General features: G+C 35.1%; 1 long non-coding RNA gene across 1 annotated transcript in view, besides 3 other annotated features; it reads right to left on the bottom strand.

Moving 5' to 3' along the window:
- The window catches only part of LOC100128317 (uncharacterized), a 115,021-nt gene that overhangs the window by 86,165 nt on the left and 5,021 nt on the right, over positions 1-23,835 (bottom strand). The window lies entirely within an intron of this gene.
- Positions 10,211-10,744: an enhancer, noted in NCBI's record as "OCT4-NANOG hESC enhancer chr7:81302077-81302610 (GRCh37/hg19 assembly coordinates)". NCBI's record gives its function as "activates a minimal SCP1, AML or CMV promoter by ChIP-STARR-seq in naive H9 embryonic stem cells {active_cell/tissue: H9 hESC(naive)}" and the evidence as "EXISTENCE:reporter gene assay evidence [ECO:0000049][PMID:30033119]".
- Positions 20,744-20,913: an enhancer, noted in NCBI's record as "experimental_100136 CRE fragment used in MPRA reporter constructs". NCBI's record gives its function as "activates a minimal promoter by MPRAs in K562 erythroleukemia cells, with activity observed for both the introgressed and non-introgressed 7:81312695 variant alleles {active_cell/tissue: K562}" and the evidence as "EXISTENCE:reporter gene assay evidence [ECO:0000049][PMID:34662402]".
- Positions 22,625-22,674: a silencer, noted in NCBI's record as "silent region_18335". NCBI's record gives its function as "represses an Ori minimal core promoter by ATAC-STARR-seq in GM12878 lymphoblastoid cells {active_cell/tissue: GM12878}" and the evidence as "EXISTENCE:reporter gene assay evidence [ECO:0000049][PMID:35858748]".

A 23,835-nucleotide genomic window follows, 5' to 3' on the forward strand; every position in this document is an offset into this window, starting at 1 on the left:
CATAGTGAGACCCTGTATTTAAAAAAAAAAAAAAAAAGTGTAAAGAAAGCAATGGACACATTGATTCAGCTGGGCCTCCCTAAAAGAGTTAAAGAATATAGAGGAATGAAATATTAGAGGTATGAGAGGCATGACCCACTACTGCGAAAAAATGATGGAGCAGACAGAATGTTGCTCAAGGCTATGAAGCCACATAAGCCTTTCAAAAGCTGAAGAAATACACAGACACTGTGGAATGACTAAATCTAGCTAATTAACATGTATTAACTCACAAAGTTATCATTTTTGTAGTGGGAAAACTTAACATCCACTGTCTTAGAATTTTTTGTACATGATAAATACAATTGTATCTGTCAATTAAAATAAATAAAATTAAGAAATGCAAAAATAAATAAATAAATAAAATGTCAGTGTAGAAGAAAAAAATCCTGAAGAAATACAGTGCCTCGGGAAGGACACATTCTGATCTGACATACTGACTTGACATCTTCAGACATTCAGAGCTTACTCCTCGTTCTGACTTGAGCCATGGGGCCCAAGTTCCAAGCATCAGTGGCAGCCTCTGTTCAGAAATCTCCTGAGGACAAATACATATCTGAAACAAATGTGGAAATGAAAGAAAAACCTTGCCTAAGAGGCAGATATATCAGCTGAAAGACTGTGGAAGACATGTCGTCCCTAGAGGCTGTACTCAGCACATTAAGGGGCATATTAAGTAGGAGAGTTCACATGTGCTGGATGGGTACACCTTGTGTAGGCTGGGCCAAAATGCCATTCTCTGAGAAAAGAGAAAGGATGAATCAATGATGTTTCCTGCAACAGAAAAATGCACAATGTCAAATTTATCATTTGAAAGGAGGGTATTCTAATTACATCTTAAGTCTCAAGTGATGAACTCTGGACAACTAACTAGTGCAGACAAAATGGTAGCTATTGAGGCAAAAAAAAAAAAAAACCTTTCCCTTCTGCTCTTATTGAGATACTACTGATTCTCTATTTTATGTTTTGGAATCACTCTGGAGTCCCAGATTTGCCAGGAGTAAATGCTTTAGGGGCTTTTTATTTAAAAGGGTGGACTTTTAAATTTTATTTATTTATTAATTTGATGGATGAGGAGCTGGTGCTACGATCATCTTATCTATCCCACTAACTTTTGAGCTCCTTTAAAAGGCAACACATGAGACTAATTAGGACTCTGAAGTACTGGAAAAATTACAGTGATTTTCATGGAGAAAAGCCCAAAATACAGATGCTTAAAGGTGCTCACATCTAACCAGCCATTGAGAATGTCTTTGGCTGAGGCTGAGTAGAATAAAAAATTAGGGAGATCAGTTTTAGATTTTAATTTATTTGAAGTTTACATGGTAAAAAGAATTTCATTTTGTTCTTTAGTCATTTCTACCCTTTGAACTAGCAACTGGAAACTTGGCCAAAATCAGCCACATAGAGCTCCAGAAAAATTGGCCAAAAATAATTATTACTCTTACATGTTTGTGATAGAGAAAGTTTGGTAAAACATTCATAACCAAAAATAGGACATTAGTTGGAAGAATAATATCCAAGAATTGGTGAATGCATACATATGTATTTGTAGGTTTACATAACTGTACACATAATGTTCTTATAAAGAAGATAGATAGAGTTGGGGCATAGAGAATGATACCCCAAATTATGGTACTCCGGCATGCTAGGCACCTTGAGTTTTAAAAAACTGGAATGACTTAAAAGATGCTTCAGAACCCATAACTTTCTAAACTTCTTTTGTTCCTCCCCCCTATTCTCCCCACCATTAGCAACGGGAGGAAGTCTCTTAATTTCCTTATTCAACTAAAGAAACTTCTCTCCAAAAGAAATGAAACTGTCTTTAATACAACCCCTTCCCCCAGGGATCTCATTAAATAACCAGGAAAGATTAACCACTGGAGAAAAGACTAAGAGAAAAGATTAAAAGTCGCCCTGCTCAGACAGACTTTTCATCTGTTCTCCTGAGGGCAGCACTGAGAGATTATCTAGGGGGCTGTCTGCGTAATAAGAACCTTTGTTCATGGTGAAGTTCCACCCTTCAACTTCTCTAAATTTGCCTCCACCTCCCCCAGAGCTCAGAGAAACTCTTTTCCAAGTCCACTGTCTGTTCCTTGGGCTCTTGCATTTTCCCTGAAAGTTGTTTGTTGCTACGCATAATTACCTACATCCCCCATTTCCCCACTTCCCTATAAGAGAGTATCTAACCTTCAAACATCTGGCCCTTCTTTGAGTCTCGTATTTGTAGGACTCCCACATCCACGTGCATGTAAATAAATATGTATGGATTTTTCTCCTATTACTCTATTGCAAGTTCAGTCTAGTGAATGTTCAGAGAGGACAGAGGGGAGCTTTCCCTCTGCCCCTACGATACACAGATACATGCACGCATACATACACACATACATAGAATCGATGACTCTTAGTGATTACATCATAATTTATCAATAAAGGTTGCCTCAAGGTGAGAAATACTAGTGATATGTATTGTGATTTTTTTTGCTTTCTGATGATTTGAGTTATATGAAAATATGATCAAGAATTGGGCAGAAATAGGTACTGTTTGGGGAGGACTGGATATTTTTCCTGCTCTGAAATAAAAGAGCTCCAAAATTAATTCCTTTGTTTTCTTACCTGCCTCCTTTTGATATATTTGAATAAACTATATATGTATTATCTTCTAAAAGATTACCTACCGTACATATTGATTTTTCAGTGTTTCCCTAACACAAATTTGGAAAAAGAAAAACAGCTGATTGAAAATGAACGTAATAAAACAATACTGACAATAATGGGTAAGATTTAATAACATTAACTTACTAAATGCCAGATGCTGTTCTACAGGCTTTACAAATCCTAACTATTTAATCCTCATCATACCAATATGAAGTTTTACTCTATTATATGAGATTAAGTGCCTTGCCCAAGGCCATGCAGCTGTTTCTGAGAAAATGATTATTAGGGTCGGGACATCATTGTTGCTTTGCACAGAACTTGATCAAAGACATTTCAATTTTCAGAACCTGGCTGGGCATTTCTGAAATGTTTTTCTATGTTTCTTCACTTTTTAATATATTGTCACCAAAAGAAAAAAAAAAAGGAAAATCATCTAGGGTGATTTCAATTTGCACTTGATCTAACAAATTACTAGTTCTGGGATCTTAGCAAGCTTATGAATTTGATATTCATTCCTTCAATAAAAACTTAAGTGCAGGAAGGTATTCCCGGCACTGAGGGTATGGTTGTGAAAAGACAGAGCAAGATATCTTTTCTGGGGATTGCATTCTAGTGAGGGAGATCTATAATAATCAAACAAACATATAAAACAAAGTAATATCATTTTAGGTGCTTAATATTCCTTAGCCTCAATTTTCTTTTCTATGAATTAAGAAATATACTACCGGCTTCAGGGCTGTTGCTGAGATCTAATAAACTAATACGTGGAAAGCATTTAATACAGTAAAAATTGCAGCTCTACTCTGGCTACTATAGAAATATTTAACTTTTGTTTGAATCTTTCTTTGTACATCTTTTTTTCTTCTAAAATAACACATGCATACTTTTTCATTTAAATAATATAAGCGACTTTCTTAGGTATTACACAATAGGACCTCAGTTTATCCTCGAACATCTAGGCCTCCCTGCATTCCCAGTGTTAGCAATAATCTATTCTCTGTTTAAATTTTTGCTTTTATTAGTAGCTTTAAGGAATTTAAGATAAATATTTGCATAAGAAAGAGTTTTTATTGAAATGATCCCAAATCAACATATGCTTTGTCATTTGTAATATTCCCATTAGGGAGTAGAATGAATAATAAATGGCCAGCCAGATGTAGGACTTATTTAAGTACTTAACAGCGAGTTTATATTTGAAGCATTTAGCCATAACCATACTTCAGCTGTGTTTTTGCCTTAAGACACATTTTTTAACTCCATGAATACAGAGAGCTTCAGACATCTCCTCTGACTTTCTCTCTCTCTGGGCTCAAACAGAATTCAGTAGTAGGAGTGTACATAATTAAAACATGGTAAAAAAAATTCAATTAAATTTTGTTTTAATCTGCTGTGAAAAATGGCATTGCTCATGGGGAACTACCTGTAGGTCAATGGTCAGTTTACTATAAATATGAAAACATAGTCAATTGTAAGATATGCCTTGAGGCACTTTATCCTGGTCAGAATTCTACAAAGTACTATAAGCTTATATATTAAACATAGCAGACAATTTACTGTACATTTTTAAAAACAGACATACTAAGGTTTTCTGTATTAATTTAACAGCTCTTTTATGAGACTTAGCCTGTGTCAGCCCATTTTAAGCAATTTACAAATATTAATTCATTTAATACATTGCAAAAATCTAACGAGGATGGTTCTAATATAGACCGTATTTTACAGATAAGGAAACAGAAGCCAGAAAAAAAAGTAAATTTCTCAAGATTGTAGAGCTAGTAAGTGGCTGCAAGTTGGATTCAGCGCTAGCACATGGGCTTCTGAGTCCAAGTTCTCAACCATAGCCCTCTGCTGCCTCTTATTTGAAAAGCATGTGGGCAAAGTAACTTAGGGGTAGTAAAAGAGACTTCAAAGCTGCTTTTGTTTAATATTATAAATTCCTGAACTTTTGCTTTCCCTTACTAAAAATATTACTATTTTCAATAATAAGTAATAATATTTTAAGATAATTCTTGTATTTTTCAATAACTATAATTTGGTCTACTTAGTTACTGAACTCTTAGTTACTGAACTTAGTTCTTAGTTACTAAGTGCAAAAGAAAATGAATTGTAATTCTCTAGGAAGTAAAGATGTAGCCACACTAGGTAAAATGTCCATATATGTTTCATCAGGTGTTTTTATATTCTTAGCAAAAGGTAAAATATAAAAGTTTGATATGTAACACTAAAAACAAAATACATTTTGTGAGACTTGGCAAATAATATTAAATAGTATACAATAATATTCACTTAGTTTGCAAAGAACTTTCGAAAAGAAGATTAGATATACTTGGGTATTGACCTTTAAGTTTCAGGACTTTCTAAAAAAATTGTGTGGCTCATGCTAGTTTCCTAGCAGACTTTATCTATGATGTGTAACTATCAGCAATAACATTACGAAAACAATTGTTTATATTAGACACTAGAGAGTTTTGTAACCCTGATTCACATACTAATTAAAATCTTTGAATAAAAGGAAACAAAAATGTTATGGAGAAGAAAGAAGGCATATATCAGGTAACTAATAAAGAAAAAAGTATTATTGAATAAATTACATTTCACACTAACTCTGGATAATTTTGCCATTTGAAACAGGAATGAAATTGCTATTAACTGTTAATCCCTTTGCATTCTGAGCATAGTAATCTAGATAAACCATTAATCATATGCTGCTATTTACCCCCATTGGGCCATCATGTTCTCCTGTATCATAATCACATGTGATTGTATGGCAAATGCACCAGACAGTGATAACTTAAGCATACCCTTAGAATGACCCTGTATGGCAAACACACCTGAATGTGTGTTCCCAGTTCTGAGCTAGGGAATCCAGGAATGACCAACCCAGAGATTTGCTCTATGAGGAGCATCTGAGCCTCTGTCCTGTACCATGGAGCACGGGCTGGGCCATATGGAGAATCAAGGCCACAAGTTTTGGGTTGACTGAATGGTGCCACGTGGAAGTTGTTAGGGAGAAGGTGCTAAGTGAAAATGCTATATAAAAACTGCGTGCTTTTTGCAAGCAGTTGCAATTCTTCTGCCCCTGCCTGCCACCATCAAGCCATGCGATTCTCCTTTCCAGTCTGCCACCAGTGGAGTCTCTTTGAGATGTAAGCCCCTCTAAAACCCCTCATTTGCTGACTCTGGGTCTCTTTGGCTTCTTGAACCTGGTGCCATCCCCATTGGCATCGATACAGGTTGGCCACAACGGTGATTGACCCTTAACCCAGATCAGCTGCTTGTCAAAACACAAAGTCTTCAGACTTGACCAATAAAATTAGATGGCTCTAAGTGTGGTGGTTCACACCCATATCCTCAGTATGTTGGGAGGCAGAGGCAGAAGGATTGCTTGAGGCCAGGAGTTTAAGGCCAGCCTGGGCAACAAAGCAAGACCTCATCTCTAAAAATAAAAAAGTTTTAATAAAAAAATAAATAGCCAAACATCGTGGTGCACACCTGTTTCCCAGCTACTCAGGAGGCTGAGGTGGGAGGATTGTTTGAGCCCAGGAGTTCAAGGTTACAGTGAGCTACGGTTGTGCCATTGCACTCCAGCCTAGGCAACAGAGCAAGACTCTATCTCTAAAATTAAAAAACAAAACAAAACAAAAAACTAAATAGCTCTATATAGGTACCTAGAAGTTTCATCTTGTGTTCCTTTTAATGTCTATCAAAATTCATCATTATTAAACAGTAGTTGATGAATCTGTATCCCATCCCCTTTTCTAAATTTTTCCCTGAGTTAATCTAGAGTCTGCATGATCAGAGAACAGCCTATTGTACATCATTAGGTGCACAAGTTTCCTGAATTGTTTCTTATGCAACGGTATTAGTTTAGGTTTTAAAATATTGTCAGAAATAGGCCCGTGAAACATCATCACTGCAAGGATTTTGTGAAGTACATTGCTTATTACTTTAAACTGCCTTCTTTATTGGAACACTTAGAACAAATTCATTTCTTGTCTTGGCATCAAAAAGAGCTTTGTCTCTTCTGAATAATTTTTGACACAAACTTTGTGGCTACCTACATTTCCCTCTTTGATTTGTTTGTTAAAAGCTGCCTCTGTTTATCAGGCTAGTATGTTTTGGGGCAGAGTTTTGTGTAGTACCTTCATCTTTGCTCACTGGTGTGCTCCTATCATTGTTTTCTTTTGGAATCACGTTATCCACTTCCCATTTATGTTATTGTGCCAGTCCTGGGGCTCACACTTATCTATGATTGTCTTCCCAGCTCCTCTCAGTTGGTTTCCACTGTGTTCAGCCAATGAGAGGCACTTTGGGAAGGCTGGAGTCCAGAGGCTGGGAAAGGCCAGGGTACTTTTCCCTCTTTCTTTCTCTTTCCAGAGATGCAGTCAGCAACTACATATCTGCTGAGGCCCTGGTTCCTGCCAGAGAGCCCTGCAGTGGTTCTAGCTCCTATGGGAGGATTCAGTCCTTAGGTTCCATTAACACAGCCTTATCACCTTCTTCTTTCAGCTGTAGGATGGCAGCTGTCTCCTGCTGTTGCTAATTTCTGTGTACCTCATCATCCCCTATTTGCCCTCTTCCTCAGTTTATTGCCTGTGTAAACACTCTTTTCTATTAAATTTACTTTATTAAACATGTTTAGACCAGTTTCTGTTTTCCTGGTTAGACCCTGACGGTTATCTTGCGAAATGTCATATATTTCCATATAAGGTATCTTAAATCCTTTTGGAAGACAGCCAGAAGTCTGGATAGATAGGGAGAGGGGCGGAGGAAGATAGAAAGAAGGAGACAGAGATAAAGATGAAAGAAAGTGTGAGACACTATGTAAATATTCTAAGTTCATAATGTTTGTAAATAGATTTCTAGGGCATAATTGCGTTCAAACTTGCATTTCACAGACTCTCTTTGCACTTCATTCAGATTTTTAAATTCATTTTTGCTTTCTTAATGTTACTTATAAGATTTTTTGATAGAATGTTAAGGAATCTAATTTATGAAAATAAATGATTAGCTATTTTTTTCATGACTGTGAAAGTAGCAGTAATCTTTTAAAACTTTCCATTTTTCATTTGGATTTATTTTAAGCATTCTTCAGTCTTGCCTAAAATAACATTTCTTACTTACATACTCTTACACTTTAAGTCATGTTGAAAATTATGTGCAAAATCTGATTTTTTTTGAGAAAGATACACTTGTTTTCCTTTTAATGTCATTAATATTAATTACTCCTAGAAGGCCCTGATATTAACATGTGGGAAGTATAATAGCGATATTATAAATCTGGTTAAACTTACAACAACCTAACAGCTGTCTTATTCCATATGTGCTCCAGATATTTTTCTAGGATCTTTTAATGGGACATACTTGTATTATTATGTATACACACAATTTTCATATGTTTGTTACGAGGTTTTTTTTTTTTTTCTTTTCATTTTTTGGAACATTCCTCCCTGATATACCATATGTCAAGAAACAGACTTGTAATATGTGAGCTATAGCTCTTCAGTGGCAGTCATATGTTCATGGGAGACCTTGGGTTTCCTTTTGTTAAACATTTCTGTGACATTTACACCACAAGCTAAGCTCTCAACAAGCACCCCTGATTTTTTTCCTCCACACAAATCTTTATTTAATGAATATATTGGCAAAGGCAGCTACTCACCACTATGCCCAATATTAATTATCAACATAAAATCAGTAATTATTACTAATTAAAATTTAAATTCTTGAACAAAAACTTTCTCTTCCATCAAAAGCAGGGATAAAATTTCACACTTGGTAATTAGTATTTCTGTTAATAATGATGGTCTTTATTACAACATTTATTATTTTTTCAAAATTCATTAATTTTTCTGATCCTAATTTACTTATGACATATACTCCACTCTCTTCCAGTAAGATTTTTGGTAGAATAAAATTAAGTGTGAAAAAAATGGGGAAAACATTATATTATGAAGTTAAGGAATGAATTTAAGACCACATATATATGGGTTGCCTATCTCTAGATCAACTAATTATCAATATTAAGTGATAAATATGGTTATATATTTCCAGACAAGATCAAAGAATCCAAACAAATATTGTCATTCACAGACAAAAATATGGCAATTCATGTGTAAAGATCTTTTTTTCCCCCAGAATTCAATTACAGATTTACTCTCCATGGCATTTAACAATTGAGAAGGCAAATATTTTTAATTACAAAGTTATCTAAAAATTTATTTTAATTAGTTCAGTTACACCTGTTTTAGCTAAAAATTTCCAGAAGATGCAGAGTTACTGTTTACGTGGTTAATTCTTAAAACATCCTTCTATGTAGAAGATATGATATTAAATCAATATATAAGACTAAGACATAAGGTCTGGACACTTTGCTACTTTTTTTTAATGCTATTAATATTGGACTAGAACATGGCAAATGTATTCAAGTAGATAGTAAACATGCCCATTAGGCTTTCCTGAAACTTCTGTCTTGAAAGAGCCTTTGGCAGTAGCTGTATGGCCGTCAAGACATGATTGGATCCCCTAAGTATATTTCACTCAGTTATGTCGCTTAATTGAAAGTCATATGCTCTATTTAGCAGAAGCGAGGAAGACCAGTCCTCATCCTACTTTAAATTTTTAAGAATTTGATATTTGTCTCAAAGACAATTCAGAACTGATATAGGTAGGCATCAGGCACTAGCAGTTAGATCTAGGTTCATACACAGAAAAAAAGCTTTGAATCTTCTTAAGTACTTTCAGAAAATGTCAAAAGTGTGGACTTTAAAGCACAGAAGATAGGACAGTATGAAAACAAAAAATGAGGAAAGTACTAGTTCTGTATAACTAATAGAATGTCTAATATATATTTCTTATATAAAGAATTGTACCTGGAAATGGTGAAGTAAGCTGTAAAACTGAAAGAAAGATTTGACGCTATTATTTAAATCTACTGGTTTAAATGTTGAAGAACACATATGGAATGCAATCATTTTTGATTAATCAGAATTCATACTGAGATGCCTTTCTAGGCATCTGTCAGTCATCAAGCCCAATCTCAATATAAATCTACTACCAAAACAATAGTGATGCTTTGTTTTTGTCTTTTCATAGATAAGAAATATTTTTCCAATTCACTTGGAGGCTAACAGGTGGTTATACAATAAGTAGTTTGAAGACATGAGAAAATGGCTATTTCACAATATTTAAAAGTTGAAGTTATATGTAAATGTAACTGATATGGGAATACACAGCATGAAAGATAACTAGCAAAGATTAAAAGAAAGTATTAAAATTTGTGAAGATAGAAAAAGAATAAGAAAATTAGAAATAATGTTTGAAGAATCATCTTGATAAATTGTCTTTTATTGGCTATCCCGGGGGACTAGTTCTAGGGATTTGGTATATCATAGAAAGACAGAAGATGATAACTGGCTTGTGATGTTTCCAAAATTAATTTTGGTTTACACTCAAGGCTTTACATGATAGCCACCAAAAAGTACCTTGTTTATTAAGCCCTGCTTCTAAGTGGTTTGAAGGACTAAGAAAATGCAGAACAATTCAATAAACTGTATTAAACTCCTTCTGAAACTGCATTTATTTATTTGTAGTTTTTCTTACAAGACTCTATTTTGTGAAGTAATACCTACTGAGAATGAAATAATTCAAAGTATGTAGGCAGACTATTAAGAAAAGCTAAGTCCTTTGTGTTTGTTTGATGCCACAATTTAAATAGGAGAATTCCTTTAACAGCTTCAGGGGTTGCTATTGTTTGGATGTGGTTTGTCTCCACTAAAACTCAAGTTGAAATTTGATCCCAAATGTGGCAGTGTTGAGAAGTAGGGCCTAGCGGGTAGTGTTTGGGTCAAGGGGGCAGATCCCTCATGAATAGATGAATATCCTTCAGTGGGGGTGAGTTCTCACTCTCATGGGAAAGGATTAGTTCCTGTGAGAAGGGGTTGTTAAAGAGTCTAGCTTCCTTGGTTTCTCTCTCTGGCCCCCTCTCTTGCCATATGATCTGTTTGCACACACCTGCTCCCCTTTTGCACTCACAGTAGATGAGGGCAATATGAGGCCCTCGCCAGATGCAGCTGCCCAATTATAAACTTTCCAGCCACCAGAATCATGAGCCAAATAAACCTCTTTTCTTAATAAGTTACCCAGCCTCAAGTATTTTCTTACAGCAACACTGAATGGACTGAGACAGTAGTGGTGACAGTAAATTTTAAAGACTTCTTTTTGAGACTTCTGGCTTTTTTTCCACTTAAACTTAATTGCCTTGCAGTCAACTTCCAATTATGTCCACCTGATCCTAGTGATTACAAAGTGCCCTACCACTTCACCAATATGTGTTGTCACTAATGATTTTAGTTGGAAAAATAATAACTATGAAATGCATGGTTGTAATAAGGAAAATATTTTATAATTTTGAATTAGTAGTATTACTTTAATTCATCTGTTTTGTATTTCTAGTCTATGTAAACTAGGACCACAGCTAAAATGCAATACCAGCCACAAACTCTTATTCAAAGATTGTACTCTCCCAAAAGACAAAGGTAAGGTAAATCAGTAACTTTAATCACAACATTATCTATGAAGAGATTGACAAATAAATATAAGATAGCTGAATTTACCCACAAAAGTGCAAAATAGCTGTCAGTAGTTCACATGTATGTGTAGAATCCTCACATTTCGAATACCTAACAAAACGTAACTATAGTCCTAAAGTAAATGTTAAAATTAGTTAAAGCTAAAATGTGTGTCTTTAAGCCAAAGTTGAAAGTGTCAGAAAGTGCTATAGGAACTTAAAGGCAAACTCGGTGACTTCCTTTCTCTGAAAGGACTGAAAAATGATTTCTTTGTACTTAGATTCACAGGAGTATATTCTCTAGTTTAAGGCAAATTAATTTAACATTTGATCTTACTTTATGATTTGGTTTAAAATACATTTGTGTATTTTAAATTAACTTATTTGTAAAGGAAATTTTTGTCCAACTGTGGTAATGTTCTCTTCTGCTCTGAAAAGGAAGGAAGGAAGGAAGGAAATTTGAAGTTATGCTAATGAAACAACTTGAAAATACAATATATTTTATCATACAACAGCTTTATATTTGTGCAGGGGAAAATTGTGGCTAAAATATCCCAAAGGTAAACATTAAAGAAAAAAAAAGTTAATTTGTTTCTGCAATTCAACTAGGACAGTCAGAGCAGCAAGCTAATTGGAGTAAGGAGGGTTGCATTGAGGTAACAGTTTTCAAATTTAAAATATATACCTTTCCCCTCTTAAGAAATACTTATTTGTTTGCTGACTTCCTCACTGCTAGTATTTATCATTTTTTTTCCCATGGATTTTTTTTTTCCTTCTTCTTCTTCAGTCCCTTCTAAAAAGGGAACAGGAACTCCATTCTGGAACTGACTTCCTTCACTAGGAGCCAAGAATCTACCCTACGAACTTTCTGGAGGAACTCTCAGTTGCTGAAACGTAAGCTAAAATATAGCAAATAGAGTTATCACTTGTTACAAAAATAATATATAGGTGTTTATATGGCTATACTACAACATTAGCACCACTTCCTAGATCATAGCAATGGAATAGACTGAACATTACTTCAATAACCATCTTAGTCTTAAAGCCAAAATAACTTAATTTTAGAAGTCCTATTTTATAACAGATAAAAGTGCAGTACTGTTGCATTCACACATTATTGAAAGCTACATTTGATTTTATGTCATTCTTTAGAGAGAATTTTACTTTTAGATTTATTTTTTGGAAAAAAATAAAACAGCTGCTTTTAGTTTAAATAGTTTACTCTTGCTGAATGCAATAGCAGTCTAGAAACATTTTTCTTATCAAGGTTTATCTCCACTTGTTAAAGTTTAGAAAAGAGACTGCCAGATTTTCTGCTTCAAAAGCGATAAGAACAAATGTAACTATAGATTCTGCTCATTTATCATTAGTATGTATGGTTTCACAGAACAAAGTAAAAATGCATCTAGCTCTGCTTAGAAAGAAGATACATTTGATTTAGACCAAAAGGAAACATCAGATATTTAATTTCAAAAGACAGTGGTACAGGTTTTGTAGAAGAGGAGAGAATAATTCATAAATAATATAATAATGGAATTTGAAGTATAAAGGTATTGGTTTGAAGTTCACTAGACTCAGGTATTTTTAAGGGTTTGTGGGGAAGACAATGTCTTAAAACAGTCACTTATTATTCTAATGCTTAGGGTTGAAACACAGTGCTTTTTCTATTCAAGAAGATTTGCAAATACTTTTTATACCTACATAGTATCATTTCTAATTCAGCAATTAACATTTACATGCACTTAAATATTGCACAAAATAACTATTAGGAATTATAGGACAGATAGTATAGTCTAGGCATGCTAAACACAGCAAGATAAAAGATAAAAAAGAATGCACAGGGGGATGATATACAAAGATACAAGTAGTCCAAATGTAGTATGATAGGCATTATGGGTGAAAAATGGGTGAGCAATTTATGGACAAGGCACAATTCATGGAGGGAAAAAGACTAGATCTAGGACTTGAGGAAGAATAATCAAGATGATTTCAAGTAGAGAATGAGAAAGGGAGAAGACATTCTGCATAAGGGGCATAAGTAAAGGCACTGAATCATAAAAGGATACCAGGAGTTTGGGAACAGAAATATTGTTTAAATTGGTCATACATCATCAGTTGTTGAAATGGTCTTGTAGGAAACAATGGAGGAGATACAGATTTGAGCCAGGATAATGAAGGAAATTTAACTGAAGCTTTAGCAAAATTGCATGATACATATCTGTAATGGCAAATAGGTCACTATGGCTAAAATATGTGATATCTTTGACTAACGAAAGAAAGCAAGAGTCAGATGAAATGACTGGAAAGATACATATGTAAAAAATTGAGAAGGGTCTTGCAGAGTGTGCTAAAATGTTGTATTTTAGCTGCAGTCAATGGGGGTCCACTGAAGCATTTAAGCTGGGAAATGGCATGATGAGTTGTCATTTGGGATGACTGTGGTGATGCTGTGTAGCATGAGAATGTGAAGGAAGTGAATTGCATAAGACCGGGTCATGTTAATTTTGCCTTCCCATCATTCTTCCTTCCCCTTCTAGTGAAAGGACCTTTTCCTTTCTCTCTTTTTTTGGCTGGTTCTTGGAGCAAAAGGCATCCTATTATGCCTTGGCTAGGTTAATTATCTGGGCTAATTATAGTATTCTTTATCCCCGGCTACAGTGAAAGAATCAGAGATAGGTATGTATCCCTAGTGGGGTTTACCCTGAGATATTTTTTTCAGATGTTTCTTCTGAGGAAGAATGTAGTTTCATTTTAAGTGCAGAGCCACTTGCAACTTTAGAACCAGCCTCGTGGGAATAGCTGGCCTGAAAATTACAGATTAGAACTGAACAGAGGAAAGGAGAAAGGAGACTCCTGATAGACTCTATCCCCATAGTCAGTCTTCTCTGGAACTAGCTCTATCTCATTTCCAAATTGTATTTATGTGATTATAGTAGTTTGAAAGTGGCCCCAGTTCTTCCCCTCCCTTTATCTGTGCCCTTTGCAGTGTGAATTTTCAGCTCCTGCCATCAAAAAAATGGATTCTATTCTCCAATTCTCAAAGCCAGGATAACCTTGTAACTTGCTTTGGCCAATAGAATGAGGAGGAAGTGATCATGTACCAGCTCTGAGCCTGAGTTTCAAGAGGCCTATGACAATCTGTCCTTTTGAAACCCTGCCATTGCTGTAAGAACAAACCTACACTGGCTCACTGGAGGTTGGAAGACCTTGTGAAGGAGAGCTGAGTCATCCTGGCCAGATGGCAGCCGACTTGCCAGCCTACCTCAATTATGCTAGCCCAACCAAAAATATTCAAACCCAGTCCAGCTTAGCAGTTGTGCTCACCTAACCTATAGGCTTATAGGGCAAAATCAATGTTTACTGTTTATATTCCACTGAGATGTAATGGCTATTTCTGACATTGTTTATTGTGACATTATATAATTGACAGTATATGACTGTGACAATATATAATTGATGCGATAAGCCAATACATTTACCCTTTTTAGAATAAATTAGCTGGATGTGAGATTATGAAACAACTAAGTGAATCCAAACATAACCAGTTAGCGAGGCATTTCAATCATCTAGATGAGAGTTCATAGCCTGAAATACCATGGAATGCACAATTATTTAACATTATAAACAAATTAGAGAACCTAAAGTTGCTCTAAAAGAGTATTTTAAAAAACAACAAATGTGATGGGTGATGCACAAAACTTGTTATACAGTTGGATGCAGTCTGGGAGTAAGGGGATATTGTTAAAAATGATGCTAAGATTTCAATTTAGAAAAATTAGGAGTTTGATAACTAAAATGGGGAATAAAGAAGCAGAGCAGGGGACTGAGAAAACATGATCTAAGTGACAAACACAGAAGTTAGGGAAAGAGTGGAATTCAAATGTGTTAGCATTTAATGATTTCCATGGTTATGGAAAGATCAAGTATGATTGAGTCTAGAATGAAGGCATTGGTTTTGATAATTAGAACAGAGTGGTTGAATTTTCCATTGCAACTTCAGTGAAAACAGAGTGGAATGTATGAGAAAATACAATCTGCACCAATTATTAACCACTATTATTTATATTGTATATATCTGTTTTTAAGTATATATGTCTATATTTACTTTGAAAGGAAGGCATACATGTATATTTACTCATTGATGCACTCAACATTTACGTATTGCCTGCTTTTTGTCATGTTGATTGCCAGGGATATGGATAGTGTCTCTGCTGATATTCCTGTGAAGGAGATATTATGTAGACATATATATGAAATATGTAAAAATAAGATAGAAGAAAATATTTAATAACATAAAATATCATATCACAGAGAGAGAAATCATCAACTCTACCTTTCAGAAGGCTTCCTAAAAGACAACATATGAATTGGGTTTTGAAGCATGAATCTAAATTCTCCATTTGGATAAGCAAATATGTGACCATCTAGTCAAAGGAAACTGTTGCCTAAATGGTCATAGATTGTAAACTTGTACTGGGTATGATAATGACATTTCAACAACTTGATTCTGATGAAGCACAAAGTGTGCTGGGAAAGCTGTGATCATTGAGATTGGTGACGAAGGCAGAGGCCAAATCTGCCTTTGTCGCAGTCTCAATGACCACAAAGAGATTTGTGCATTCCTAAGGTTGAGATCTGCACTATAGAGAAGGCTAAGAGTTGAAGACACCTAAAGCAAGGGGGCCGCAGAGTCAGATTTTTGTTTGGAAAGGTAATTCAGAGGATAGTAGAGAATTGAAAAGAAGTAGGGAATGAGAAAAAGATGGTCAAGATAAAAGTCTTTCTAAATATCAGTGACTATTCCTACAAAATGCCATCAAGAATTTTTTGCGTATCAATGTATTAACCATATATGTCTTTACTTAATGCTTTATTTTATATCAATGTGCTTGAAAATTCAAGCTTATTCAGAACAAAACTAATTTCACTATCTTAAAACAGAGTAACTTTATTTTTATGATTTATTCTTACATGACATCTAAAATAATCTTCTGTACTACTAGTGCCAAGTAAACGACTTGGAAAACAGTGCCCTCTGTCATCCATGGTAAGAAAAAGGAGAAGATAGAGTTGAGAGACACAGAGAGAGATTCACCAAGGCCTGATAATTGATTGGGTGATGGTGGTAATGCTAACTTTACATTTAGACACTTCATATGTGCTGAACACAATTGTAAGCACTTCAATATGCTTACAATGAGAGCAGAGCGAGTTGTCTCATTTTTTATGGAATTATCTACAATTTACGAATGGGAAATGCAGCGTAGAGTCTAGTAGAATGGTTCTCAGGTTTCTCATCCCACTGGTTTTCTCTAAAGACTCATCTGGATAAAATAAAGGTTCCATAACATTGTGAATAAGCTAGCATTTATTGGGTGCTATAACTTACTAGTTATTGTAACGGGATTTTGATGGTGTTCGGTGATACTAAGTCCAGGAACAAAAAAAGAACCATAGTCTCCCCTGCTAATAAAAACTAACCTTGGCCTGGTGCGGTGGCTCACACCTATAATCCCAGCACTTTGGGAGGCTGAAGCAGGTGGATCACAAGGTCAGGAGATCGAGACCATCCTGGCTAACACGGTGAAACCCCATCTCTACTGAAAATACAAAAAATAGCCAGGCGTGGTGGCATGCACCTGTAGTCCCAGCTACTCGGGAGGCTGAGGCAGGAGAATCACTTGAACCCAGGAGGCAGAGGTTGTAGTAAGCAGAGATCACGCCATTGCACTCCAACCTGGGTGACAGAGCGAGACTCAGTCTCAAAAACAAACAAACAAAACTAACCTTTTGTCTCCCACTACGACATTAATATCCCTGTGGAATTATTATTAAAGAATGGTAGCAAACTTAGGTAAAGTGCCAATTGATTAAGAACTGAAGTTGTATTATTCCATATCCTAAAGAACTCTGGTGAAATTGAGTTGGAATGTACAGTGTGGACATTCTACCTTCTGCTCATTGATCCATATTGCTTTGTTTTTTTTTCCCAATTATTTGGTAAATATATATTAAAGACTGACTCTGTGACAAGTACTCTGGTTACAAGATCAAAGAAACACCTGTCGACCTTCATGGAATTTATATCCTACTGACGAAAGAGATAATTCACAAGTTAATTAGATATTCCATATGTTAGATGGCCATAAGTGGCTTGGGCAAATACATAAAGCAGTGACAAATGATAAGGAAAGCCAAAAGGCTCTGAATGCAGTTTATAATGGGATGGACAAGGAAAGGTCTCATTGAGAGCTTTGCAATTTTGACAAAGATCTGAAGGAAGTAAGACACAAGATAACCCAGGTAGAAGTATTCTATACAGAGGAAACAGCAACAGAAAAAAATCCCATATGTTTAAACAGGCATGGGGAAAATCCTCTCACCTGAGTAAGGTAGAGAGAGCTAGAACGCTCTGCAGGGTCTTAACCTCTCAGCTACAAAGAGGAAGTAGGAGAGAAAGAACCCAATAATAGCAACTACTTTTTAAGCCATAGTGACTCCATTGGCTAGTTATTGTGGTTTATAGTACATTCAAACTCTGATCAAGTGGATTAGCAACTAGTTCCTCCTTGAGGAAAAGCTAGAAATGAGTTTAACAGGAGCAGGTGTAGCATGAAAAAAGGGCAAAAATTGTTCTCTCCAGTGGCAGTCTTAGATGAAAGATAGGTGAATCGGGGATCTTCCTTCAGATAACTCCAGTTCATGCCAGATTGCATTTAAAAGATTGCTTTTCCAAACTGGCTTCCCTGTGTTATCATCATGTATGCATCCAAATCATTTCATTTATTGCTGAAATAAAGCCAATGCTATGCTTAAATTCAACAGCTGTTTTATAGTATATTATGGAATAACTAAAGATAGGAAGTTTAAACACCATAATAATGCAACTAACAATCACGTTTCCAGAGTTCTCTCACTTAAATGTAATCTTATTTTAATAAAGTAATTGAGTTTCAGTTTATAGAAATTCATACCTTATTTGAAAAGATTTTTATAACAGCATAAATATGCATATAACCAGTAAAGTTGCTCATAAGATGAGAACAACTTCCAAATATAGGATACTGTTGAAATGAACTTACTTCTTTCACTTGAAAGATTATTTCTAACATAAGAAGAAGGTGCTTATAAAAAATAAATCAAAAGTAGCTCAAACAGCAGCAAAATCCAATAAAAGAGACATTTGAATGACTTTTCAGTATTGGATTTACCAGAGCTAGAAAATTATAAACAGAGAAGACATAGATGTCATGAAGTTACACAAGACTCTGATGCCTTAAAAAGAGGCCAGGGGACATTTCCCTAGGTCTTTTTCTTGTGCCCAGTGAAACAACATGCATTGGACCTAAGTTCATAGTAAACTCTGGCAATAACTGTTGGATTATTTAAATGGTCCTAGAGTGGAAAGAAATCTGTCCTGTATTCTCACCTTTTCATGACAATCCTAGAGTAAAACTGGCTACAGTAATAGAGAAGGTTTGGGACATAATTAGTATCATCCATCCATACAAAAATACTCATCCCTCAAAGATGCAGATTTAGATTATTAAAGCTGATCTATATTCTCGCGGTAGATTTGGTAATGTCTTATTCAGTGGTCAGGGTAGGAATCTAACCTCAAGTTAAGTATTCTGTGGTATTTATTTAGCTCTAATTTCTTGAGCACTGACTATTTGCTACCCAAGGAACTAGACTGGGTAGAATAGAAGTTACAAATACAAATTTTACTTTCTAAAAGTCTGTGCTAAAACCATAATTGCACTATATTATGATATGATATATAATATGGTAAAGGCATGTCTAAATTGATATAGCAGCTCATAGAAGGAAGTGACTGTTCTCTCTGAGGAAGTTTAGGAGGGCTTCCCAGAGGTGTCGACAATTTAGTTGTATGGAAAATACGAATATAAGTTTACCATGTATAGAAGGAAGATATAGTAGCATTTGAGAAAGCGATATGCAAAGTTGTGACATGTAATGTTCGGTGAATGAAAATTAGTTCTGCATGATTATAGATAGAGGGGTTGGAGACAAAGGAGTTTAAATGGCTTTGAAACACCGTTGAGTATTTCAGATGAGATCCTCTAGAGAACTGCAAGCCATTGGAGGTTTTTAACTAAATTATTAAATTTTTAGGAAGATGAATTGTGAAACAATATAAAACAAATATTATCTATTATAAACACTTAAATGAGTAACATTAAATGGTTTAATAGAAAAATAAAGGCTATGTTTTTATACAGACATGTTCAAATACTATCACATCCATTTATCACCTTTAGTTTTTAGCCTCTTGAAGTCAGTTTTCTCTTCCCTTTATGAAATGATCACAATATATCTAACTTGCATGACAGCTAGTTCACACAACATTGGGCACAAAGGAGGTGTTCAATAAATATTGTATTACCAATGGGTTTTATTCACACAATTTTTATAAAGATAAAAAACATACATTTAAAAGTCCTAGTATAAATCCTGGCACATATTAAGCATGATGTTTCATTTCCCTTTCTTTTTAAATTTTTGACTGAAATAATTGGATTTTGATACTTATTTTTATAAGAAAAGGCAAAGAAAAATTACTCAGTTTGAAAATGCCATAAGGAAATCTAGGGGATTAAGCAGTGTGATTGAAAGAAAAAGACAATAATATAGTTATGTGATATCCATTCACATAAAAAGCAATAGCTTTCCAGTGGAATGCTGATCTATATAAATATATACACCTAAAGTATAGAATAATTTCAGTTATAGAGGATGGAAATGGTCTGTGAATGTGATCATGGAAAAACATATATGGTAGAGTGTTGAGAGTATTAAAAAAATTACAGAACAATATCTGTAGGCTGATTACATTTTTGAAAAGAAAGCATCAATTATATACATAGAATAGCATTTAAATGATATATGCCAAACTGTTAATATCATCTCTGTGATGATGTGCTGTTTTCAGTTTTACCGTGTACTGTTCTGCATTTCTTACATTTTTTTATATTCATAGGCATGTATTACATTTACACTGTAAATACAAAATGGTAACACACACACACATATACACCTCTCATCAAGCTCTTTATTTTTTGCTAAGCTAATACACAAAAGATAGCACTAAAGAACAAAACACCAGCTCCTTTTACCAAGGACCTAGCACACAAAAATGCAAAGGGAAAGTGGTAGCTTTGCCTTAATGAAGATAAAGCTGACAGTGAGAAAGTCCAGGGGAGGGTAATTGAAGAGATGTGCAGACATATGCCTCCACTCACTCATGGTTACTGACTACCAACGCTGCTGCTGTGTGTGGATGGCAGAGGCAATCTCTGAGGCTTGAAATTAAGTAAATAAAGATAAATTTCCCCTTTTATTACACATAGAATTAGAAGCAAAAAGGATGAGGGACCGTGGTGATAAATAGTGTAAAGCTAAACCTTAGCATATGGCACCTACAGCCACACAGGATATGTTTTTAAGAGACTCCAACCACAGTTAGAAACAAAAGTCTGAATCATTTTTAAATGACAAATTGAAGGTATAAGATTATGAAATTGATTAATATGGAGTCACAAAGAGACTCGTTCTAAATTGCACAAGAAAATTTGGCAATGTTAAGGGGAAAAAAATGCTATTTTTCATGTCCATGAAAACTCAGATTTTCTCTTTTAAACACTTTATGAGCATTTTGTATTTGTATATGTTATCTGCTTAATTTCAAGGCTGAGAGAGAACATTTGGAAAAACACAAACTAAAATTACCTGCTAATCCAATACATCATGTTGAGTTTCTTTTCTCCCTCAATTAAATCTTGTTTTTCCAAGATCAACCACAAAACCCTACCTGCCAAATCCTGCAGGCCCTATTTTGTTCTGTATTAAGTGTGTGTGCATATACCATAGGGTGATGAAATTTTGTTAAATGTGGCAAGAATAATTTAAAATCACTCTTTTCTCCACCTTATGGCTACAGATGCCACATTTTTTGTTCCTTGCTATCCAGAAATACTAATTTTCAATTTTTACTATGTTTTATATTTACACACAGACATATACACACATCACACATATACATCATCACAAGCATTTTCACAAGTAACCCTTAGCAATGTGACATATTTTAATAGCAGCAAAATATATCTGAGTTTATACTATATATTAAGCCATCCTAAAGTCAGATATTTAGGTTGTTTCAGGGTTTGAGTATTATAGAAATGCAATGATAAACATATTAGCACACTTTTTTCTCCGTATATATAATTCTATCCTTAGGCTAGATGAGTTAGCCTCCTCAGCCTTGCTCTCAAGAATCAATAATAGTACTTACGACAATAAATAAGTCTCTGATGCCACTCATCATAAACCAAACCACAGTCATCTGTGAGTGACAGGTTAACTCTAAATCAACACCTCTTCATTTGGAGTTTCCTCCTGTCTGAATTTTAATTTTGACCTCATACATGAAACCACTATTTGTTTTCACATTCCATAGAATCTGAATGCGTATTGTGTGCTGTTACTGATTGATCGTCATGTAGCAGTCTTAGTGTGCCTTCATTTCAATCTTCTGAAGTGTAATTATTTCAGTCAAGGTAGTCTAGGTTATGCCACAGTGATAAACAACACGAATATCCTAGTGTTTTTCAAGACAAAGGCTTATTTCTTTCACACCATTTTCCATTGCAGGTGGAGACGACATGAAAAAAAAAAAGCCATCTTCAGAGCTAAACACATGAAAATTGTAGCTCTTCTTACAAGCCAGAGCAGGAGAAAGTACCCCTATTATCCTATATCAAAAAACCAAAATATAAGAAGTCAGAAAACAAACTGCTAATGATGCTTCAATGACACTTAAAATTCTCATATGTTAAGAGCTTAAATTCAGGAAAATTCTCACATATTGCTGATCACAGCATAAATTCATGCACCCCCATTTTGAAGGCAATCTGGTTATATGTTAAAGAGCTTCAGAAATAATTATCTCCCTTGCTTTAACCCAGTCATTCTTTTTCTGGAGCTTTCAATAAATAAAGCCAGACCTATCTGTCTGGCTGATCTGTTTCAATGACATAGCTGAATTTTTTTTTCTTGCAAAGTTGGGAAAAAGTATTTTAAATTGTATGATTTAAATGCTGTCATATGGAGTATATGAAATTCATTTGGGGGCCCAGAGGACCCTCCAATTAACAGACAGTTACTTGTGATAGGTTGTGTTATGATTCACACATGTTCCTTGCTCTTCTCTCAGGGATAATTACATTCTGGCTCACTGACTCAGGACTGGCCCTGTGACTCACTCTCATCAATGAACTCTACACAGAAGTGACGTGTGTTGCCTCTGGGGAGCAGCTGTAAGTCCCTTCTGCAATGCTGACTGGCAGTGGTCCAGAGTGAGGCTGTTCCCTCAATCTGAGTAAGCAGAGCTTACTACTAAACTCCTAACCGTAGCCTACAAAGCTCTCCATTTATTATCTGGACCCTGTCTATCTCCAAACCTACTTCTAAGCCTCCTCTTCCACCACTCTCCAAATTCATCCAAACATGCAGACCTCCTTGTTGCCCTAGAGTTCTCCAAGCATGCACCACTTCATGTCCCTTATGCTTGCCCTTCCTCCCCATGGAGTATGGTGTTTTGTTTTTTTCCTTCTTGTGTTTTCTGTCTCTGCTCAGATATGATCTCATGAAGAGAAAGGTCTTCCTTGATCATAGATCTTATACCTCAGACTCTTCCTTGGATTGCTTTATCTCCCTACTTTTTTTTATTTTTTAAAACTGTTGTTTTTATTATTTTCAAGTTGTTTATTTATTGCCTAAGTCACCCACTACTGTGTTCTCAATGCTTAGGCAAGTACCTGACACATAACATCTGTTTAATAAATATGTCAAGTTAAATTAACAAATGTAGTTTAGAGCAGGGCCGAATTTCACATTCTTGAATAAACGGTTTGTTCTATTGCTACAAGGAATTTTCATAAATAGCAACAAGCGAAATAATTTAACTCCTTGAAATATATACTTAAAAATAAAGGAGACAGAACACAGATACAATAACATTACCATACCTTTCAAAATAGATATGTTAGATATTTCATCCTAAGATTATGAAACAATGAAAATAAAACATATCATGGTGGAGCAAGATGGAAAAATCTTGGTGAAGAGTATAAATTGGATGCACATCACTTAATAATGATCACCATGCCTAGTTCCTAACTTTTAATTAGCTTGTTGGTAAAATGAAGATATAGAAATATATTAGTCTGTTCTCACACTGCTATGAAGAACTGCCCAAGACTGGATAATTTATAAAACAAAGAGGTTTAATTGACTCACAGTTCTGCATGGCTGGGAGGCCTCAGGAAACTTACAATCATGGCAGAAGAGAAAGCAAACACATCCTTCTTCACATGATTTCAGGAAAGAGAAGAATGAGAGCCAAGCAAAGGGGGAAGGAAGCCCCCTATAAAACTGTAAGATCTTGTGAGAACTTACTATCACCAGTCTAGCATGGGGGAAACTGCCCCCATGATTCAATTATCTCCACCTGGTCCCACCCTTGACATGTGGGGATTATTACAATT

This window comes from Homo sapiens, chromosome 7 (genome assembly GCF_000001405.40).
Source record: "Homo sapiens chromosome 7, GRCh38.p14 Primary Assembly".
Taxonomy (NCBI): Eukaryota; Metazoa; Chordata; class Mammalia; order Primates; family Hominidae; genus Homo; species Homo sapiens.